General features: G+C 33.0%; 1 long non-coding RNA gene across 10 annotated transcripts in view; it reads right to left on the reverse strand.

Annotated features, from left to right (window-relative positions):
- Positions 1-20055, reverse strand: part of LOC105372733 (uncharacterized) — a 123425-nt gene that overhangs the window by 59258 nt on the left and 44112 nt on the right. For 3 of the 10 annotated variants that reach the window (XR_001754954.2, XR_001754953.2, XR_001754952.2), the window contains exon 1: positions 627-1026. The exons of 3 other annotated variants lie outside the window; for them this stretch is intronic. This is a non-coding gene — a long non-coding RNA (uncharacterized LOC105372733). 4 more of the 10 variants (XR_951164.3, XR_951170.3, XR_002958652.2 and 1 more) reach the window with 4 other exon arrangements.

Genomic DNA, 20055 nt, shown 5'->3' on the forward strand with positions numbered 1-20055 from the left:
CTCCAGAACATTGAAAGTTACTGTAGTCAAGGAAAAAAAGAATGTTGTGAGGCACGCTCTGAATTTTTGCCTCTAGAAGGAAACAGACACTTTAGTCTACTAACATTTCAATAAGCAAAAGGAAATCACATTCCATAACTGAATTAAACAGGGCAGTGAGCTATATCCTACCATGTGTGTGAAGAAGCCAAAAAATATGTAAGCAATCCTAATGTTTATCACCTTAAATTTATCCATGCATGCTACTGTGGTCACTTTCACTGTAAAAGCAGTCATTGCAGAATCATCACCAGTATCTCAGTATATTAGTCAGGGCAATTAATATTAGTTTCTGAACCAAACTGCAAATATCTGTGACTTAACACAATTTTTTTTCTTCTCATTCATATAATTCAGTAGAGGATTAACTTTCTGAAATTCCTTAAACGTTTTCACAGAATCCTCTGCATTTAATATAAAGAGGAGTATGAGAAGCATTGCATGAGGTATCTTATAGCTCAGTCTAAAAGTGGGAAATATAACTTCTACCTACATTTCATTCACCAGTGAAATGGTCTCATCCTACCTGCAATTGAGGCTGAAAAATACAGCATTTTCTTGTGGTCCAAAGAAAGAAATAATGTTACCTCACCAATCTCTGTCAAGGTCAGTCCTTCTGATGCCAAAATACCTGCTTTAATCTTCCTCCCATTATAAAACACACTGACTTCTCTCAAAATGAAAAATGCAGAGTTCTTTCAAGGTCTGGCATCCAGCTCAAAATGTAGTATCTCTGGCCACTCATAATTCTCCCAGTGAAGTCCAGATAAGGTCCTCATTTCTCAGTAAAATCTAAACTTAAAAGAATAAATATGTGTCCTGTGTACAAATATGCAACGGTGAAGTGGGAACAAGGTGGCAGCAATAAATACATCTCTATCACCACAGTCATTTGTTCTTGACTATTTGCAAATCATTTCAGGAAGACATGGTGAAACATCCTACACTGTGAGTGGCAGAACCCCATGTGCACTGCAATCTCATTTCCTACCCTCCAGAGGAGTATATAAACTTTTCCTACATAAATAATGGCCACATTTTTGTATCGATACATTGTAAGTTCTAAGATGTGTGTGTTTTTTTTTAAGAGGAATTAAAATAGAAAAGCATATACCTAAAAGATGTTCCTCGGGATATATCTGCATATATTCTCTACTCTTGTCATTTTAAATAAAAATACAGTGGTCCCTTGATATCCTCAAGAGATTGGGTCCAGGACCCCAGAGGATACCAAAATCAGCACATATTCAAGTAATCCTGTGGAACCAGAGTATACAAAAAGTCAGTCCTCCATATCTGCGGGTTTTTCATCCTGTGGCTACTGTATTTTGATCCACATTTCAATGCAGATGCTGATTTTTTTAATTAAAAGAATCTCTATATAAGGGGATGCACACAGCTCAAGCTCATGTTGTTCAAGTGTCAACTGTACTAACTTTTTTATTTCTGTCCAATATAATTTAAATAACATAATTCTGTGAACTGCATGTCATTAATTACATATACTAAGAGGTGGCGTAACAATGTGTTTAAATTCCAAGAAATGGTGGCTAGCAAATTTAATTCTCATCTCTGCTCTGCCACAGACAAGTTCTGAAGTCTTGAGCAAATCATGAGTATCTATCTCTAGCTTACTCATCTTAAGAAGGAGCCAGTAAGTAGCAATTATCTTTCAGTGTTCTTATGAGAAGTAAATAACCTGTACACATCAATGCTCAGAACAGAGACTGCCATGTGGTATTATGTCCGGAGTTGGTTCCTGCCTGTGGGTTTGGTGGGTTCGTGGTCTCGCTGACTTCAAGAATGGAGTCATGGACCTTTCCCGTGTTACAGATCTTAAAGATCACGTGGACCCGACGAGTGAGCGGTAGCAAGGTTTATTGTGAAGAGCAAAAGGAGAAAGCTTCCACAGCATGGAAGGTGACACCAGCAGATTGCCGCTGCTGGCTGGGGTGGCCAGCTTTTATTCACGTATTGGCCCCTCCCATGTTCTATTTTTGTCCTATCAGAGTGCCCTTTTTTTCAATCCTCCCTGCAATTGGCTACTTTTAGGATCCTGCTGATTGGTGCATTTTACAGAGCGCTGATTGGTGCATTTTACAGAGCGCTGATTGGTGCATTTCACAATCCTCTTGCTAGCTACAGAGCACTGATTGGTGCATTTTACAATCCTCTTGCTAGACAAAAAAGTTCTCCAAGTCCCCACTCCACCTAGGAAGTCCAGCGGGCTTCACCTCTCAGTATGTTCTGAATAAATTGGGCTATTAAATATGTGATATGAATTAATCAAGCAGAGAAAAAGTTACTAGTGACAGGGAAAAGGAGAAAATATGTATTCAATATTATTTTGTAAACAATTTATAAATATGCTGCACCTATGAGTTTCTTCTCAGTACCTTAGAAACTATAACACCATGGAAAATTTTGGATAGTTTAGGGAAGTGCATTATTTGGTAATGTGAAAAATAAGATGGTCGTGATAAAGCAACTTGGGAAAAAAGAAATGGCATGAATCTTGAGAACACGTACCTTCTGAGAATTTTCATGTTTAGAAAAGAGCAAGCTAAAAATCTGGAAGCGTATTTGTTCACAGGCAATTTTCAATTGGTCTCAGGCATTTCTGTGCATCTTGCAAATAGGCACTAGCTTCACATTTATTACAGGTTTTCCTTTTTAAAGATCTTTATATAGTGGATAGCCCTGGAAGATCAAGATATTGTTTATTTATGGATGAGAGAACAGATTTGTTTATTTTCAAGTAAAACGAAGATAGTGTTTCCTCCACAGAAAACATCAGACAGGTGTGCTTACTGCTCATTTATTAAAGATTTAAGTTTCCTTTACTTGGAGTTCTTCATCTATGACACAAACTGTGTGTAGCATCAACTTGAACTCCTTGTCATCATCTCCAGTAAACTTGAGGGAAAACAGGAACCAGAGCAAAGATGAAGCTCGTGCAACTCTGTGCTGTGCTGCAAATAATGGAAGTCTTTCTGTCTCTGACCAAACAGTTATGTGTCTTCTGCCAGCATCCATAAAACTGAAGCAGGCTAACTTGTAAGCTCAGATCCTTCACAGTTCTTGACAATAGTCCCTAAAACTGTCTGCAGATGCACATCCCTTGGAAAAATTTTGCATCCTTTTAAGAATAATTAATATCCTAGTTAATGACAACTATATGACAGGATAGATCACTTTAAGCTTCTACCCAGATTACTATAACTTTTAGGTAAATAATGTATATGCCACTTTTTCTAAGGTTATCTAGCCATTTTCGATGTAGAAAACAATATTGCGTAAGATAAGCTGAGCATATTTTTCACTTCGTTTTTGTTTTGCAAAACAATTTTATTGGTTTTGTTAATGCCCCAATCATCAGTACTGCTTGGTATAAGAGCCGAGTTTGAAGAATTATCATGTTGCAAATGTATTTTGTTCAGTTATTTCAAATTAGTAGACAGAATTGAGAGGTGGAAAATTTTAGAAAAATCTTGGTTAATCATACTTGGAATTTGGTTATGTAATATCTCTTTCTCTTTTGGGGAATACAAAGGTTCATAAACTAGTGATAATCTTCACTCTTGGAACCATTAGATGCTATCATGATGTTAGCATAGAAGATAAATTTATAAGTTGCAGTGAGGTAAGGAAATAAAACACGTAAGTCTTTGAAAACAACACTATGACAGTCCTTGCAGGCTAAAACTTAGACACCAAAGCATTTTTTGTTACTTTTGGAGAATAAAAGAAGTGTGCCCCTCAATGTCTTGTGGGAGAAAATATATAGTTTGATACACTTGTCAATATCTCTAACTCAAAAATGATGAGTATAAGGAGTGACCCTTATTGTAGTCTTATATTTCTCTCCAACAATTAAGAGAGTTGGTGGGGATGTTTTTTCCATGAGTTCATCCCAGGCCCCAGGAGATTTTCATCTTGTATTCTCTTTATAATCCTATCTTAGTGTTTCATCCTCATGGCTAAGTTCAGCAATACTTCTGCATTCCAGACAGTAAAATGTGTAAGAAGAGATGTAAAAACAATCGGCTTTGCCTTTATGGAGATTAACTTAAATTTATGCTCATAATATAATTCATATTATATTTGATCAAAATTAATCACTGATAAGAGACTATAGAAGGTAATCTCCTGCTTGTGGTCATATGTACTTAGGATTCTATTACTAAACAAAATGAAAGAATGCATTATATGCACAATTAGTGGTCTCTAGTACAAAGAAATTACCAGGTCATTTCCAATTCTCAATATTAAAAAAAAGTTTATTTCTTACTGCACTATCAAATTGGAAAGGTCAGTACAGGGGCATTCAATAATAGTAAAAATATGAATAACAATCATGTATAACAACAGAATCATTTAAAAAGATGTATATTTAAAATGTGATTATTGCATTTTATTTCCCCTGGCAGAAAATAATAAACTGGAGAAAAATCACATTTGATTGATGTCTGTTACATGGATTTTTAAAATTTGTATCAATGAATGCTTTTTAAAGGTAAACTAATTGAGGCCTACCGAAGGTAAATAAATCTTTAGTTATTTTGGTAAATATATTTTACAGTTTCATTCTTTTTCAACTTAAGTTAGATAATAGGTACTATATTCTCTCCTAATGTAAATGTTTACGAGCATTGAAACTCCATCTGGAGAAAATAGAAACACTTTTAATTTAAATGACATTTGAAGAAGGAAATGTATAAATGTATTCAAAACTGTAAGTGAAAATGGGAAGGTCCTATTAAAAAAAAAAGAAAGGACAAACACTTTCCAATGACCTTTCTATAATATTAGCAAATTTATTATGATCTGTTATGAAAGACTGTTTTGCCTTCCTTGTTTCTACTGTCTCAACTGCCTAAGTACTAATTCAATTGAAAAGTAACTTCAGGTATGGGTCCATTTTAATGTCCCTCTACAAGATCTGCAGTGCCATTAATTACAATCATATAATCTTAGAGCCAAGGACCCTTAGAGATTATCTAATCCTATTCTATTAATGCATGATGAAATGGGCTTAGCAATCTGTCTAAGGTTACACAAATTCAAAAACACATAGAAAGTTTTCATAATCAAATTAAATTAAAAGTATAAAACAATGTCACTAATTTATGTATAAGAAAATATTAAATATCATTTTATATGAAGTGATTCTGATAATTTTAATGAGTTCATAACAATGCTTCTAAATATTTCAAAATTTTAGTTTATCATCCAAATATGATAATACTATACACTTTTATAAGTGAGTCTTCTACAGTGAAAATTACTAATTATAGGAAAGAGAAAATCATGGATAAATAGGGTTGTATCAAACTCTTAAAATGTACATGTGGAAATTTAAAAATATCCTCTTGCCAAGGGGATGTTGATGTCATTCCATAACAGGATTGACATGTGTAATTAAAACAAACAATAAAAATTAAGAATATATAAATAATATTTTAAATGCTTGAATTTGTTATTTATAATGAATATTGAAATTTATTTAGTGAGATAAAAGGTTAACAAATTCTTGAATATAATTATACTACTTTTATAATAAAATGCATCCAAGCTGAAATCTCACTTCTGTTGTCAATTGCTTTGATGGTTCTAGACTCATTTCCCTATTTTTGGTGAGTCATAAGATGGATGACGCACATGCTCAATAGCAGGTTATGTTCATGGCTAAGGTTTATCATAGCAAAAATTACAGAGCAAAACCAGTTCTATTCATATTTTTAATAAATAGTAAACTAATTATATCTTGTTATTCCTATGCTTTGTCTATCATACCTACACATAAATATAAGCACTGGTAAGTTCTGGTTCCAAACATAGCTTATATATGAATGCCATAATCATTCAATATGCATACATTAGCCTTGAATTTTGAAGATTAAAAATTGTTTGTAAAACTATCTAGAAAAAATTTATTATGATTACAGCCACTATTAGGTTTCAAAAGGGTTCATCAGAAATCTCTGAGGTATATAATGGGGAAAGAATATTTTGACTACCACTTTAACAGGTCTGCTATTTAATAATATTAGTTTCTTTTTAATTGATGTTTCATGGACATCCAGAATACTAGCTATAAAATCATATATGCTGCATAATGCAAGGAAAACAAAAGCACCTGTAAATATTACAGAAGACTATACATGTATGTATATCATTGCCATAAAATACCTATATACATATATGTATATACACACATAATTGTTTTCACAACCATGATATTATTACTTACAAAAGCATGCAAATTTAGGGAGATGGCTAAATAAGTTATGGCTTTTTCATAAATTGTAAGCCTATTCATTATAAAATATTATTGAGGATCAACTTTCATTTGTTCCCCAACAAATTATTGAGCATCTACTATGTATATTCTAGGCCCATTTCTAGGGACTGGGGAAAAAATAGTGAAAATAACATTCAGAATGTCTTGGCTTCACAGAGCTGTTGTTCCAGTGTTGGGAGAAAAACAGTAATTAATACCACAAAGTATCATGTGTTGTATGCCAGATGGTTTAAGTTCTATTCTAAAAAATGTGGCAAAGAAGGGGAATAGAGAGTTCTGGGCACAAGAGGTGCTGGATACTGAACAAGATGGTTGCTGAAAGCCTCACTGGGTGGTATCATCTGAATACAATGAGTGGTTATGAGAGAATGAGCCAAGAGCATAATTGAGAGAACATATTTTCAGGGAGCAGAAATAGCAAATGAGGCCTTGGTGTATGAACACACCCATGAGGTTCCACTAAGGATGCCAATGTGATACAGCAGAGGAGATGAGGTCACACTCCATGGGGAGATGGTCACATAAAGCTTCTTAGAAAATGGTAAGAACTTTGTTTATTTAATTGGCAGCCATGAAGGGTTTTAAACAGAAAAGCAATCGCCTCTTTAAAGAATTAGCAGTAACAGTTTGACTGATCTGTGAAAATAGACCACAGCATAGCAAAAGAGAAAACAGGGAAATTAGCGAGGAAAGTATCGTGTAAACTATTGCTGAAGCTGTTCTAAACTATAAACTATGTAAATTATAAATTGAAATTGTTCTATGCAAACAAGATATATTTGAACCCTGTATATTAGAGGCAAAAGTCCATGATATTGGCAATGTTTTGGCCTGAACTATGGGAGGAACAGAGTTGGAATTACTCACCTGGGTTTAAATTTGGGAGGAGCAAATTTGGGAATAGAGGATAGGAAAGATCAATAGTTTTATTTTTAACAGGCTTAATTTTAAATAGACAATCATATAATATATTTTAAATAAACTATTAATCATAAAATAATGTCAGGCTATATTTTAATACTCACCTATCAATTATAAATAAATAAAATGATAAGAAAATACATAAAAACCGCAATAGTTTTTGTAATTAGACAGTGGAGTTACTTGTGATTTTAATGATGTAGGAATTATTCAGTTTTTAAATAATAAATCTTTATTAATTTTATAATTATCAAAGATGCTATAAAAAGAAATAATTTTTTTATTACTATGCTACTGATGTATTTCCATTGCATTGACTAACAAAATTAATACTAGAATTTTCAAAAGTATCCACAGTGGTTACTTTATTTGCACTGTTAATTCAGCTCTTTTTAAGTATGCCTTCTCGTTCCCTAATTGATATAATTCAGAGACTACACTTGGACACAATTTAATGAATAAGCAAATTAGGTCCAGTTATTCCAATATGAAATTCCTTTTAATTATGGGCTACTTTTGGAGATGTAGAATAATTTGAATGTTTAATTTGGTGACTCAGTATGACCTACTTCACATTGTTTTATGAGTGGGTGAAAAATATAAGTGCTAGGAAATGTGTACCAGAAATAATTTGTCATCTAATTACATTTCAGAACATTATACCTCCTCAAAGCCTTGTTTCGGCATATATCTCATTTTAAAAATCTATGTTGCATATATGTTTACTTCTTTAAAATTTTAAAAATGTTTGTGGCATTCACATAAAATACAGAAGAGACTAGCAATAAGTGACATACATGTACTTCAGGACCTGAAAATTTATATATTTTTTTCTTTCCTTAAAAAGAATATATTCAAATACATCATGAGAAAAATGTATAGCTTTATAGTTAGGATAAACCTTTAATTCAAGTGCTGTTACTTGAATTAAGGATGCACAAGCCCCGGACTCTACTCCACAAACCCCACCCACTCTTCTCACCACATAAATACCTAGGGAGAGGGATCTGTCTGAAGGAACCTTTCCCACAACAGCCTTTATTCAAAATGACACACCTGCCACTTTCTTGATGCCTACTCTTGTACTCCAACTGCAGTGTGATTCATTACACACAGTTTGCTTGTATGTTATATGACAGTGATTACATCAAGGATTTGGGTACTAGCTAACTGAACTGATATATTTGAAAGTACTTTATAAAACAGAAAGTGCTGAATAACCATTAAGTATACAGAATGATTTGGCAACAATCATATGTAGTACCATATTTTCTGAAATATCTATTTCTTAAAAAACAAGTTTCATTAAGTATATTATTTGCTGAATAATCTCTCAAAGGTCATGTTTTCATATAGCTACTATTATTGCATTTTGAAATCAAACATTATTTTCTTTGCCATTTCAGAGAAGCCCTTGGTAATCCAGCCCGCAAGTGCAATTCATGCGCATGGCTCTAAAGAGAAATGGGCAAACAAAAAGAAGATTAACTACACATTCAATAATCATTTATTTATTTTCTTAGAGATATCTACAGTAGCTCTCTTTTATCCTTATTTTAATAAATGCTGACGTACAGAATTAGTGAGATTTTTGGTAATAATATTTTTTTTTTTGAGGCAGAGTCTTGCTCTGCCAACCAGGTTGAAGTGCAGTGGTGCAATCTCCACTCCCTGCAACCTCCACCTCCTGGGTTTAAGCGATTCTCCTGCCTCAGCCTCCTGAGTAGCTGACAGGTGCGCACCACCACGCCCTGGCTAATTTTTTTGCATTTTTAGTAGAGATGGAGTTTCACCATGTTGGCCAGGCTGGTCTCACTCCTGACCTCAAGTGATCTGCCTGCCTCGGCCTCCCAGAGTGCTGGGATTACAGGCATGAGCCACCGCGCCCATCTGGGTTATAAATTTGTTATTCCTCTTGTGGTTGTTTGGGATGTGTATTTGTGTGTGTGCACATATACATATTATTGAATTTACCACGTTACTCCAAAGGCTTTTCTTTAACTATTTTGCTTGATGTATATTCAACAATGATAGTCTCAAACAAACAAACAGAAAACAGAAACACATCTGATTTTTCACCAATACTGTTTATAGAATGAATCTGTATAGAGTCTGAGGCTATTCTGATGATAAATTGATTATAGGACTAGAAAAAACTATTTTGCCATTTTACAAACTCTCATTATGCACCTTATATAATAGTGCCAAGTTAATAAATTTGCTTCTATGTTTATAGTCTGCAACAGAAAAAACTTATGAGGTACTATTTTCCAGATGAAAGTGAAAGTGATGACAGATTTTATTTCTACACTTAAATTATTAAGATATACCTTTATTATGTGAGCATAATCGATTTTATTGCAGGGAAGGCCCTTAATTCAGTAAAAAAGACAAGATTGCTTCTTGAATATTAAAACATTTTCATCTTTTCAGTTTTGCTTTTCTTGATTATCTATTTTTCTTTTTACTGAGTAATGTATATCATTTTTTAATTAAATATAATTTAAATAATATTTTACAATAATCTAAAATGCTTCTGAATACTTCGTCAATAACTTTTGGATGTTCAATAACATTAAGAACGATTACATTTTTCAAATATTATTTTTGCATTATTTATATGTTTGCATTTTTACAAGTGTTCTAATCGCATATTGCAAGGCCAAATCAGAATTTTTAAAGACTTCATTTTATTAACATTTAATTATAGCAATAATTAAGAAATAAAATAAAATGACATAAAATTTTAAATCATATGAATAAATTAAACCTATATATTTAAATTACTTTACAATTTTAGCATTTTTCATAAATATACAGAAATTTCATTTCGTATCTGTTGTTATAATTATTACAATATTAAAATTATGTAATGGAAAAATACATTAAGCATCAATTAAGACAGCATACATCTGTTGGCAAAAGAAAGAGAAGGTATATTTGATTTCCTTGATTTTTTCCTCTCAAAATTGAGAAATAGTTTAATTTTATAAATCTATATCCATTTAAATTACTTAAGTCACCATTTTAGCCTAATTTTTTCATTTTCTAGATAGATTACTCTTCTTTTTTCTTAAAAAAAAGGTATCATTTATTCTGGTTACGAGTAAAAGACAATTTTAGATGTGCAAATATTTAGATATGTAATCACAATTAGTATTTTTACTTCATGAAATCTTTAGGCGCAAACTTTGCTGTTCTAAACTAAAATTTGGATTCCAATTCAAAAGCTAAAGACTATCATAGTGTGATTATCCCAAATGAACTCTTTTACCTAACACTTACTGAAATTTCAAGATAAGTAGTATTGAGATTCTACAAGTCAGTAAGAGGTCTTCTCTCTGTGAACTTTTAGGTTTTAAGGGCACAAGGAATTTAATGGCTACTGGGCTAAAGAATGTAATAACCACTACTGTGCATATGATTTTAGTCATATAGGCAAAAAGCCTAGGAGTTACATTGTTTGGTCAGATGGCATAAGTACAATTAATTGCAATATAAATTGTCAGATTGTTTCATAAAGCTCTACAATAAATTATTCTTCACCAGAAATATATGAGAGAACACTAGAAACAATAAGTCCTATAGTTATCTTTAAATGCTACCAATTTGATGGTTTTTCTGGTGACATTCCTGTGTTATTTTAATTTGTATTTTCTTTACCACCCATGAATCTTAACAGATTTTTTCTATGAAAGTTCAGCACTTTGATTCATTCTTCTGTGGACTGACTGCCTGTGCCTATCCACTTCCCTGGCTCTCTTGCTTGGTGTGTGCATGTGGCTTAGTTTTAGCAAATAGAATATTTGCTGTCCCTGAGCCTTAGTCTTAAATCCTTATACAAGCACTTTTTCTTGTTATCTTACCTGTTTGTCTGACTTGGGTGATGATTCTTAGAGTAATTTTGGTTGCCAAATGTTAAAGTTAGTAGAACTACTATAAGCCTCTGAGTGGCTAAATGGTAGTTATTTCTGTGGCCTGAATACTCTTATGAGATATTCAGAGAGATTGAGAGGGAAGAATTATTTTTGAAGACATGGAATTTTTATTTTCTATTCCTTAGAACAGTTTAGTTTACCCTAAATAGTAACTACCTATTATTTTCCTCTGCTAATTTTTCTTGAGGCTCCTAACTTTATCAGGTGAATTTTAAGATATCTGTGAGGCTGGGCACGGTGGCTCACACCTGTAATCCCAGCACTTTGAGAGGCTGAGGCAGGCGGATCACAAGGCCAGGAGTTCAAGACCAGCCTGGCCAACATGGTGAAACCTCGTCTCTACTAAAAAGAAAAAAATTAGCTAGGTATGGTGGCGCTCACCTGCAGTTCCAACTACTCGGGAGGTTGAGGCAGGAGAATTGTGTGAACCCGGGAGGCAGAGGTTGCAGTGAGCCGAGATCGTGCCACTGCATACCAGCCTGGGTGACAGGCAAGACTATATCTCAAAATACATACATACATACATACATACAAACACATATATGTAATGTATAAATATTACCTTTTTGTCATCTATTTAACAAAATATTTGCTCAAATATATACTTCCATCTGACAACTATTTAACATTACTTTTCTAATATTTTTACCTTATTGCTGCTGACTTGATACATTTTTATTCATTCCACTACATCCTTGTTATTTTGGAAGATCTATCCTTTATTTCTTTATTAAGGGGTATCTTCAATTTTTTGACCTCACAATTAGATGCATAATTTTCAAGTACTATTTGAAATAAAGATACCTTCTATTGTCTTAGCAAATTAGTCAATTTCTCTACTTACCCCTCCTCAATAAGTTGACAAATTCAAAAAACATAAATTTCCCCATTTCTTTTTCACCACTCCCCTCCAAGAAACCTTGGAACCAGTTTGTTCCAAGGTTTGTTCCCACCAAAGTCTAGATTATACAAAAATATTTTAGAATGTTAATGATATATTGTTAGTAAAATTCTTCTATTGAATAGTTTATGATAATTTGTCAACATGAAATGTTAGGCAGACATTGAATACCAACTAGAGCTATTCATATTCTCTTAATGGGATTTCCATTGAGTTATTGATGAAAGATAAAGTGATATAAAGAAAATGTGTATACACCAAGTGCAAAATATTTTATACCCTTTATGTGGCCATGAATATTAAATCATAGTTATGGGAGGAAATTGCCAAATACATATATTAGGCTGTTAAAAACTGTTTTTCTGAGCTCTGGAAACTGATGGATAGGCATAGCAGAAGAGAGCAGAAGCAAGCCAAGAAATCAAGGAAAAGATACTGCTATATAACAAGAAATAAAATAAAAGTACGTAATGTAATTCCCTTAGAAAATGAAGTTGGGTGACTGAGAAGATGTGGAGAACCTTTATACCAATTTCCTTTTTCTAATCAGATTTGATTATAAAACATCGACATAAAATCAATATATGTGTATTATATTCATTTCAATTTTAATTTCAAGACCTAATTTTGCTGTCTTAAAGATCATGGATAACTCCATCTTATCTCAGTGTTCAATCTATAATTCATTAAAACAGTTTTCAAAAGAATTTTCAAAATATTATGATTACAACCATACTTAATCTTAAATTAGGACATACTATGTGATAAATACTATGGTGAAGTACTTCTCAATAATCCATATTCTTAAACACAACAAGTTCTAGGATCAATCTGCTTAAATTTATATATTTGCTCAATCATTTGCCACATAAATATTTTACAGATAAAGAAACTAAAACACTTTTTTTTTCTCCGAAACTGTTTCAGGGCTAAGTAACTTACTCATGAGCTTGGTAAAAATAAAAATTATTAGATACCTTGTGGATCCGTTGCATATATTTCAAATTTAAGTTTTTGAAGCACTTTTTGAAAAGACTTCTTTATGTGACATTTGTTCATTAAAAACACAGTGATTCTTTTTTTGAAATACGATCCAATTGTAAAATATCCTGTGTCTAGAAATGAATTTATTTTCCTAACAAAAGTGTATTAAATTAATTAATTAAATTCTCAGAACCATTATTTAAACCAAGTTTGTTGATCCTACAACCAGTGAAAATAATCCCTACAATGCTAAAAATGTGTGTGCTATTATCCATCTATTTCCTAGTTCATTAAAGCCAAGTTATCATAATCTGGACTTTTTACCAAAGATTTTCAGGGATGTCAAAGGTTTTTACTCCTAAATTTAATATGCTGAAATATTACTTTATGTTCTATTTATTTTTTTCATTTAAAATAACATTTTTCTCTATGTTGCGATTGCAAAAATTAACTTATTTACATATATACATGATGTCATGATATAATCTAGGCACAATTTTGGATATTTCCTTTTCCCAATCTGTTTAACTTACACAGGTAATCAATATATGTAATCACCAAGCAAAAGACCTTCATTGGTTTCTATTTTGTTATTTTTTCCTCTGGAAAAGTGTTTAAGATAGTTTTAACATGAAGAATAGCGACCATATTTTTTGCATACTGTTATTTCTTCAAAGACGCTTAATCTATATAAACAAATTTTAAAAACCCTGGTATCAGTTGGGTAAAATCTCTGAGATTTAAAATATTTACTAAGCTACTAAATGTTAAGCAACACGGGATTTTGAGAAATTGGCCAATGGCAAGGATTGTAAGGGAACAAAAACTTGGAAACAATGCTGTTTGTCGACATCTTGAATAATTTGCTGTGCCTCTATTTTATGTCACAGTATTTCCACTTCCAGGCCTATACAAATAAATAAAATCAGTATTATACACAGAATAGGTACACACACACACACACACACACACACACACACACACAAGCGTTCAGATATAAAGATTTCAACTGTAGCATCATTTGTAATAAACAATATTGGAAACAATGTTGGTATATATTGCTAAGAAAATGTGTTGAGATCAATTTAGTATAATTATATAATGAGATATATGATTATTTCATTTCTTTATGGAATGAGTGTAATGGGAAAATCCAGTGGAAAGCTTACGTTAAAGCTAAGAAAGTTAAATCTTTAAGACCTTTCATATGTATGGGTCTTTCTCGGGGTCATATGAGTTTTGCAAAATTTGCTGTGTAAGATGCTTAATTAAAAATAAGAAAAGCCACACCTGTTTTGACTCCCATTTGCCTTTAGTCATTTATCTCCCTGTCAGGTAGTGCGGGTCCAGCCTACAACACTTTTAGTATTCAGCTAAGGGGAAGTTGAATAGAGACATATTTAATTTCAGTTCATTGAGGTTAATGTGTTTGATTTAAAGCCACTTCCATGTAAAATGAAGTTGTTTCTGGCAGTTCAGAGACTTTCTATTGCTCACTCCATAGATTCATCCAGTGTCGTAGCACAGAGGTGCAGAGGCAGAGAATGTTGTGAGACACATGTCATGCAGTACTTGGTACCAGAGGCTGCAGAGAAGGAAAGAAACAGCTGCCCTTAACCTAGCTCTCCTTTCCACTAATTCTTACCGTGGTGGTGATGTGGTGAGAACCAGATGTCCTACATGTAAGGGGATCTGCTGTAGGCAAAGAACTCTGGAAAAAAGAACCTGAGCGTTTTTGTGGAAGAGTGACCCAGTTGCTCTTGACCCCCTTCTGAGTGTGTCTCCATAGTCACAAAACGGAAAAAAAACTGAGTTCTTACTTTAACCATTTGGATAAAAATAAATCTCTCTAGGGGAAAGATAACACTAGAGTCTCCAGCTTTGTAACTTCTGGGATGCATCTACTGGGTCTCATCTTCTCTTGAAATGTAAATATATATCCCTAGTGAGGTAAATCCCTCAGGATGGCCCCTAACCATGTTCTTTCTGTGAATTAATTTCCAGAGCTAGTTCTTAGCGTAGAGCAGAAGTCTGAGTAAAATTTGTTGAGAAAGTTCTTACTATGCATAAATAACTTTATTTACAGCCTAACACTATCCATTAAAATCAACAAGAGAAAGACAAACTAATCCAAAATGACCCTGCAATCGGGGCTCTAAAACAATGCAGGTTGACTGTAATTGTTAAAATGAATTTGGAAAGTATTTGACCTTATCTGTTAAAATTAAGTATATGCATACCCTGTGACCAATAATTCTGCTACTATCATCCAACAGGAACACATAAACATATTCAGGAAATGTACAAAATTGTTTATTAAAGAATTATTCACAACAGCTTAAATTGGAAGTTTTGCAGTTATCCATCAAGAGTGAAATAAACACATCATAGCATATATATAAATACATGGAGTATTATCAAGCAAGAAGGATAAATGGTATACCCAAGAGAGCTTTGATGACTCTCCCAAATACATTTCTGAGTAAGAGAAGCCATCCAGAAAAGAATATATATTGTTTAATTCTATTATAAAAGTTCAAAAATAGGTTAAAAAAGTCTATGTTATTAGCAATCAGAATAATAATTACTTGCAGATGGAGCAGATGGTAATTTAAGGGAATTTTATTGTGAAATATGTACAATCACTTTGTTAAAATTAATTAACTATATACTATTTGTGTATTACAATAAAAATGTTTAATAAACTATCTCATTGTTGTTATTTACATTTCTTAAATAGCATTTAGGCATGGGTGAAAAGGTTTAACTTGACTGGCATGAATTGCTCAAATACTGTACATTCCAAAGAGGGGTCCCTCTGCAGGACTAGACCTTAGTCTAGGAGTTCATCTCTGAGCCCTTGGAGTATTTTGCTTGATAAAAGTGTTCTTGTTTTCCTGAAGTCTTGGGCCATACTCTCCCAGTTCGACCAGAAAAGGTTATGTTATCAACGTGACTTATGTGAACATCTGTTTTTACTCTGGGTGTAGGAAGAAAGTTGTGCTTAAATGTCATGGAGCTGAGGTCAATCATATGGGCATTACATGACTATGTGACTGATCCCAGTAAACACCTTCGACAACTAGGCTCCAGCGAGTGTTCCTGGTTGGCAATGCTTTGCACTTTACATATTGTTGCTGGGATAATTAAACATGTCCCCATGCAACTGCTCTGGGAGGGGACACCTGAGAGCTTGGACTTGGTTTCTCCTGGAGTTCACTTCATTTGTCTTTTCTCTTAGCTGACTTCTATCTGTACTGTTTTTACTGTAATATACTGTAACAATGAGTACTACAGCTTCTGATTCCCTTAGAGATTTCCAGTAAATTACCAGGTCTCAAGTGGTCTTGGGAACCCCTGGCATATTACTGAACTTAAAGTTTTCAGAATATCTGTATTTGATATATTCCATGGCAAGCACTATATCCATCATACTTTTTCATTTATTGACATAACTCCAAATATTTCCACATATCTAAAATTCAGGAAAGTAACCCTATCCTTACCTCTGAGGATAAAGCTTGTTAAGTATAGGTAAACCATGATAATTTAAATTCACCTGTTTGTGACTGACTTTTTTTAATGACTGTTTTTAGTCAAGAAAATGTGAGGGTAGGTCTGCCAAGAGCTACTGAAAAGAGTTACATTTTCTAAAAAAAAAAAAATCCTCGTCTTTTCTTTTTGAGAATAATTTGTGGTGTTTCTGAAATCATTGTCTGCCCATAAAGAGAGATTACTTAAACAAAAAGTCTGTATAAAATATGACTACAAATAAAGATGAGAAAAAAATCATATTCTTGATTAATTTATTGATCTATTAAATTAATAGTCTTGGAAGTAGATCCCTCTTTGGACTTCCAGTTAGAGACAGGGCCTTACTCTATGGCCCAGGCTGGAGTGTAGTAGTGCCACCATAGCTCATTGTGTAGCTCACCGCAACCTCAAACTCCTGGACTCAAGCAAACCTCCTGCCTCAGCCTCCCAAGTGGCTGGAATACAGACAGGTGCCACCATGACCACACCTGGCTATTTTTTTTTCAATTGTAGAGCTAAGGTCTCCCTATGTTGCCCAGGCTGGTTTTGAACTCCTGGCCTCCAGTGAGCCTCCCACCTCAGCCTCCCAAAATGCTGGGATTCCAGGCATAAGCCACGAGACCTGGCCTATTTATAGTTTAAATTTTCTCATCGTCTAAATAAAAGATCTAAAACTAATTGTCTAAGTTGGCGGAGCAGTCAGAACACACACATTTATTGATTAAATTCATTGTCTTATATGGATGTGGTTCATGGTGCCCAAAACAATTACAATAGTAACATCAAAGGTCACTGGTTACAGATTACCATATCAAATATAATTATAATTAAAAAGTTTGAAATATTGTGAGATTTACCTAGATATGGCACAGAGATACAAATGAACACATGCTATTAAAAAGTGGTGCCAATAAAGTTGCTTGATGCAGGGTGGTCATAAACCTTCAATTTGTGAAAAACACATTATCTGTGAAGCCAAGTGAAGCAAAGCACAATCAATTGAAGTATGTCTATATTCCACTGCCTTTGTAGAGTGTATATAGTTGTATTACATAACATATATAATATATATAATATATATATTTGGGTATATGTAATATATATTATATATATTTGTATATATATTATACATACATATTATATACATATATAGTATGCATATATATTATACATATATATTACATATATATATATATTTGATATGGACTGTGTCTTGTTTCCCCAAAATTAATATATTGAAGCCTTAACTCTCAATGTGTTAGCATTTGGAGGTGGGACCTTTGGAAGTAATTAGGTTTAGATGAGCCCATAAGGATGGGGTCTTCATGATGGGATTAGTGCTCTTACAGGAAGAGACCAGAGAGCTAACACTTTCTATTCGCTATGTACGTACATAGGAAAAAGGCAGCCCTTTGAAAGCCCAGAAGATGACCCTCCTCAGACTTGCCAGGTTCAAGAACTATAAGAAATAAATGTCTATTGTTCAGACCAGCGCCTATCTTATTTTTATATAGCAGCCTGAGCTTACTAAAACAATTATTAAGAAAAAACAGCAAAGCAAACAAACAAAAGCAACTATGTTTAAAACTCCTGGAAAAATAATTTATCTTCTGTGCAGCTGTTTTTTAAGATCTTCCTTTAATGTATTTCCCCTCATTTTTCTTGCGTCTTATTTGGAGTCTGTAGTAGCATAGTTCTTAATTTGCTTATCAAGTAATTTACATCATATTAAACATGAATTTCAACCAGCAAAGAATATTATTAAAACTTCTGGACTAATGTTATTCACTTGTATTCTTTCCTACTACCCGGAAATGCTTTTGCTGGCAATGATTTCTCCTTTGATGTTGTGAAGTTTCGGGCCATTGTTAGAGAAACAGGTCCACTTGCCGATTAGCAGGCAGTAGGCTTTGTGACCTAAGTTCAGTAACAGAAAATCATTACTTTCTCTGGCAATTTGATACAACATGCTTCATATATTCCAAAATTCATCAATTTTCTGCTCTGTTGATGTCCTCCTTTATTATGTTAAAGAATTGCCACAGTATAGTTTATTCATAATGCTATTTTCAGTTGAATTACTAGAGCTCCACTTTAGCATTTTAAAATCATATTATCGCATGTTTATTTCCAAATTAACAGGGCAATAAAAATCCTCTCTTAAAAATCAGGGATATCAGTATTCATCTCTTTTCATGTAAAAATATTAAAAAATTAGAAGTGAAATATCACAGAAGATATTTTAAATATGAAGACAAATAATGAAATAAGGAGAATTTTAAAAGCCAAATATTTTGGATCAGAGTAAGAAGTTAGTGGTAAAAGATAAAGGTTATCCAACAACCTTTTGCAAATGAAGCCAAAAAAGTAGGTTTGCGCAACACTGAATAACTAAAATTACAACTCTTTTATATTTCATTAAAAAACATGCCCTTTTTCAAAAAGTCAGATCGGTTTAATCACACCATAAAATTATTTACCCAAAGTTAAGGAAAAATAGCATGCTTTCATATAAGTAGAAAATTTAAATACACAATTGATATTTAACGTTCTCTAAGCAATGTAAAGATTGCTTTTAAGCCATCTAACAGAGTTGTATTTATTATTAGGGATCAAAAAGTGTGTAAATTAGCACAATATATTTTATATAAAATGAATCTGTTTTCTCTTATAAGAGTATACAATTATAATTCTGAATTTTGAATTTATTCTTAAACAAATAAAAACAACTGCTATATCTGAATTCTTGTTTTATGTCACTCTATCTATCTATATTTTTTTACTATCTATATTTTTTTTACTATCTATATTTTTTTACTATCTATATTTTAGGCATTTTTACTATCTATATTTTAGGCATTTTATAGGCTAAGTATGCGCAGTTGGTGCTTACTCAATATAGCCTAGCAATGCTCCCTGTTTCTTTTTTTTAACCTTTAATTTCAGGGGTACATGTGCAGGTTTGTTATATAAATACATTTGCATCATGGGGGTTTGTTTTACAGATTAATTCATTACCCAGGCATTAAGCCTATGACTCATTAGTTATTTTTCCAGATCGTCTCCCTCCCCCGACCTTCTGCCCTCTTGTAGGGCCCAGTGTCTGTTGTTCCCTTCTTTGTGTGCATGTGTTCTCATCATTTAGCTTGCACTTACAAGTGAGAGAATGTGGCATTTGTTTTTTCGTTCCTACATTGATTTGCTAAGGATAATGGCCTTCAATTCCATCCATATTCCTTCAAAACACATGATCTCGTTCCTTTTTATGGCTACATCTTATTCCCTGGTGTATATGTTCAACATTTTATTTATCCAGTCTTTACTATTGATGGCCATTTAGGTCTATTCCATGTCTTTGTTAATGTGAATAGTGCTGCAGTGAACATATGTGTGCGTGTGTCTTTATAATAGAACAATTTATATTCCTTTGGATA

Source organism: Homo sapiens, chromosome 21 (genome assembly GCF_000001405.40).
Source record: "Homo sapiens chromosome 21, GRCh38.p14 Primary Assembly".
Taxonomy (NCBI): domain Eukaryota; kingdom Metazoa; phylum Chordata; class Mammalia; order Primates; family Hominidae; genus Homo; species Homo sapiens.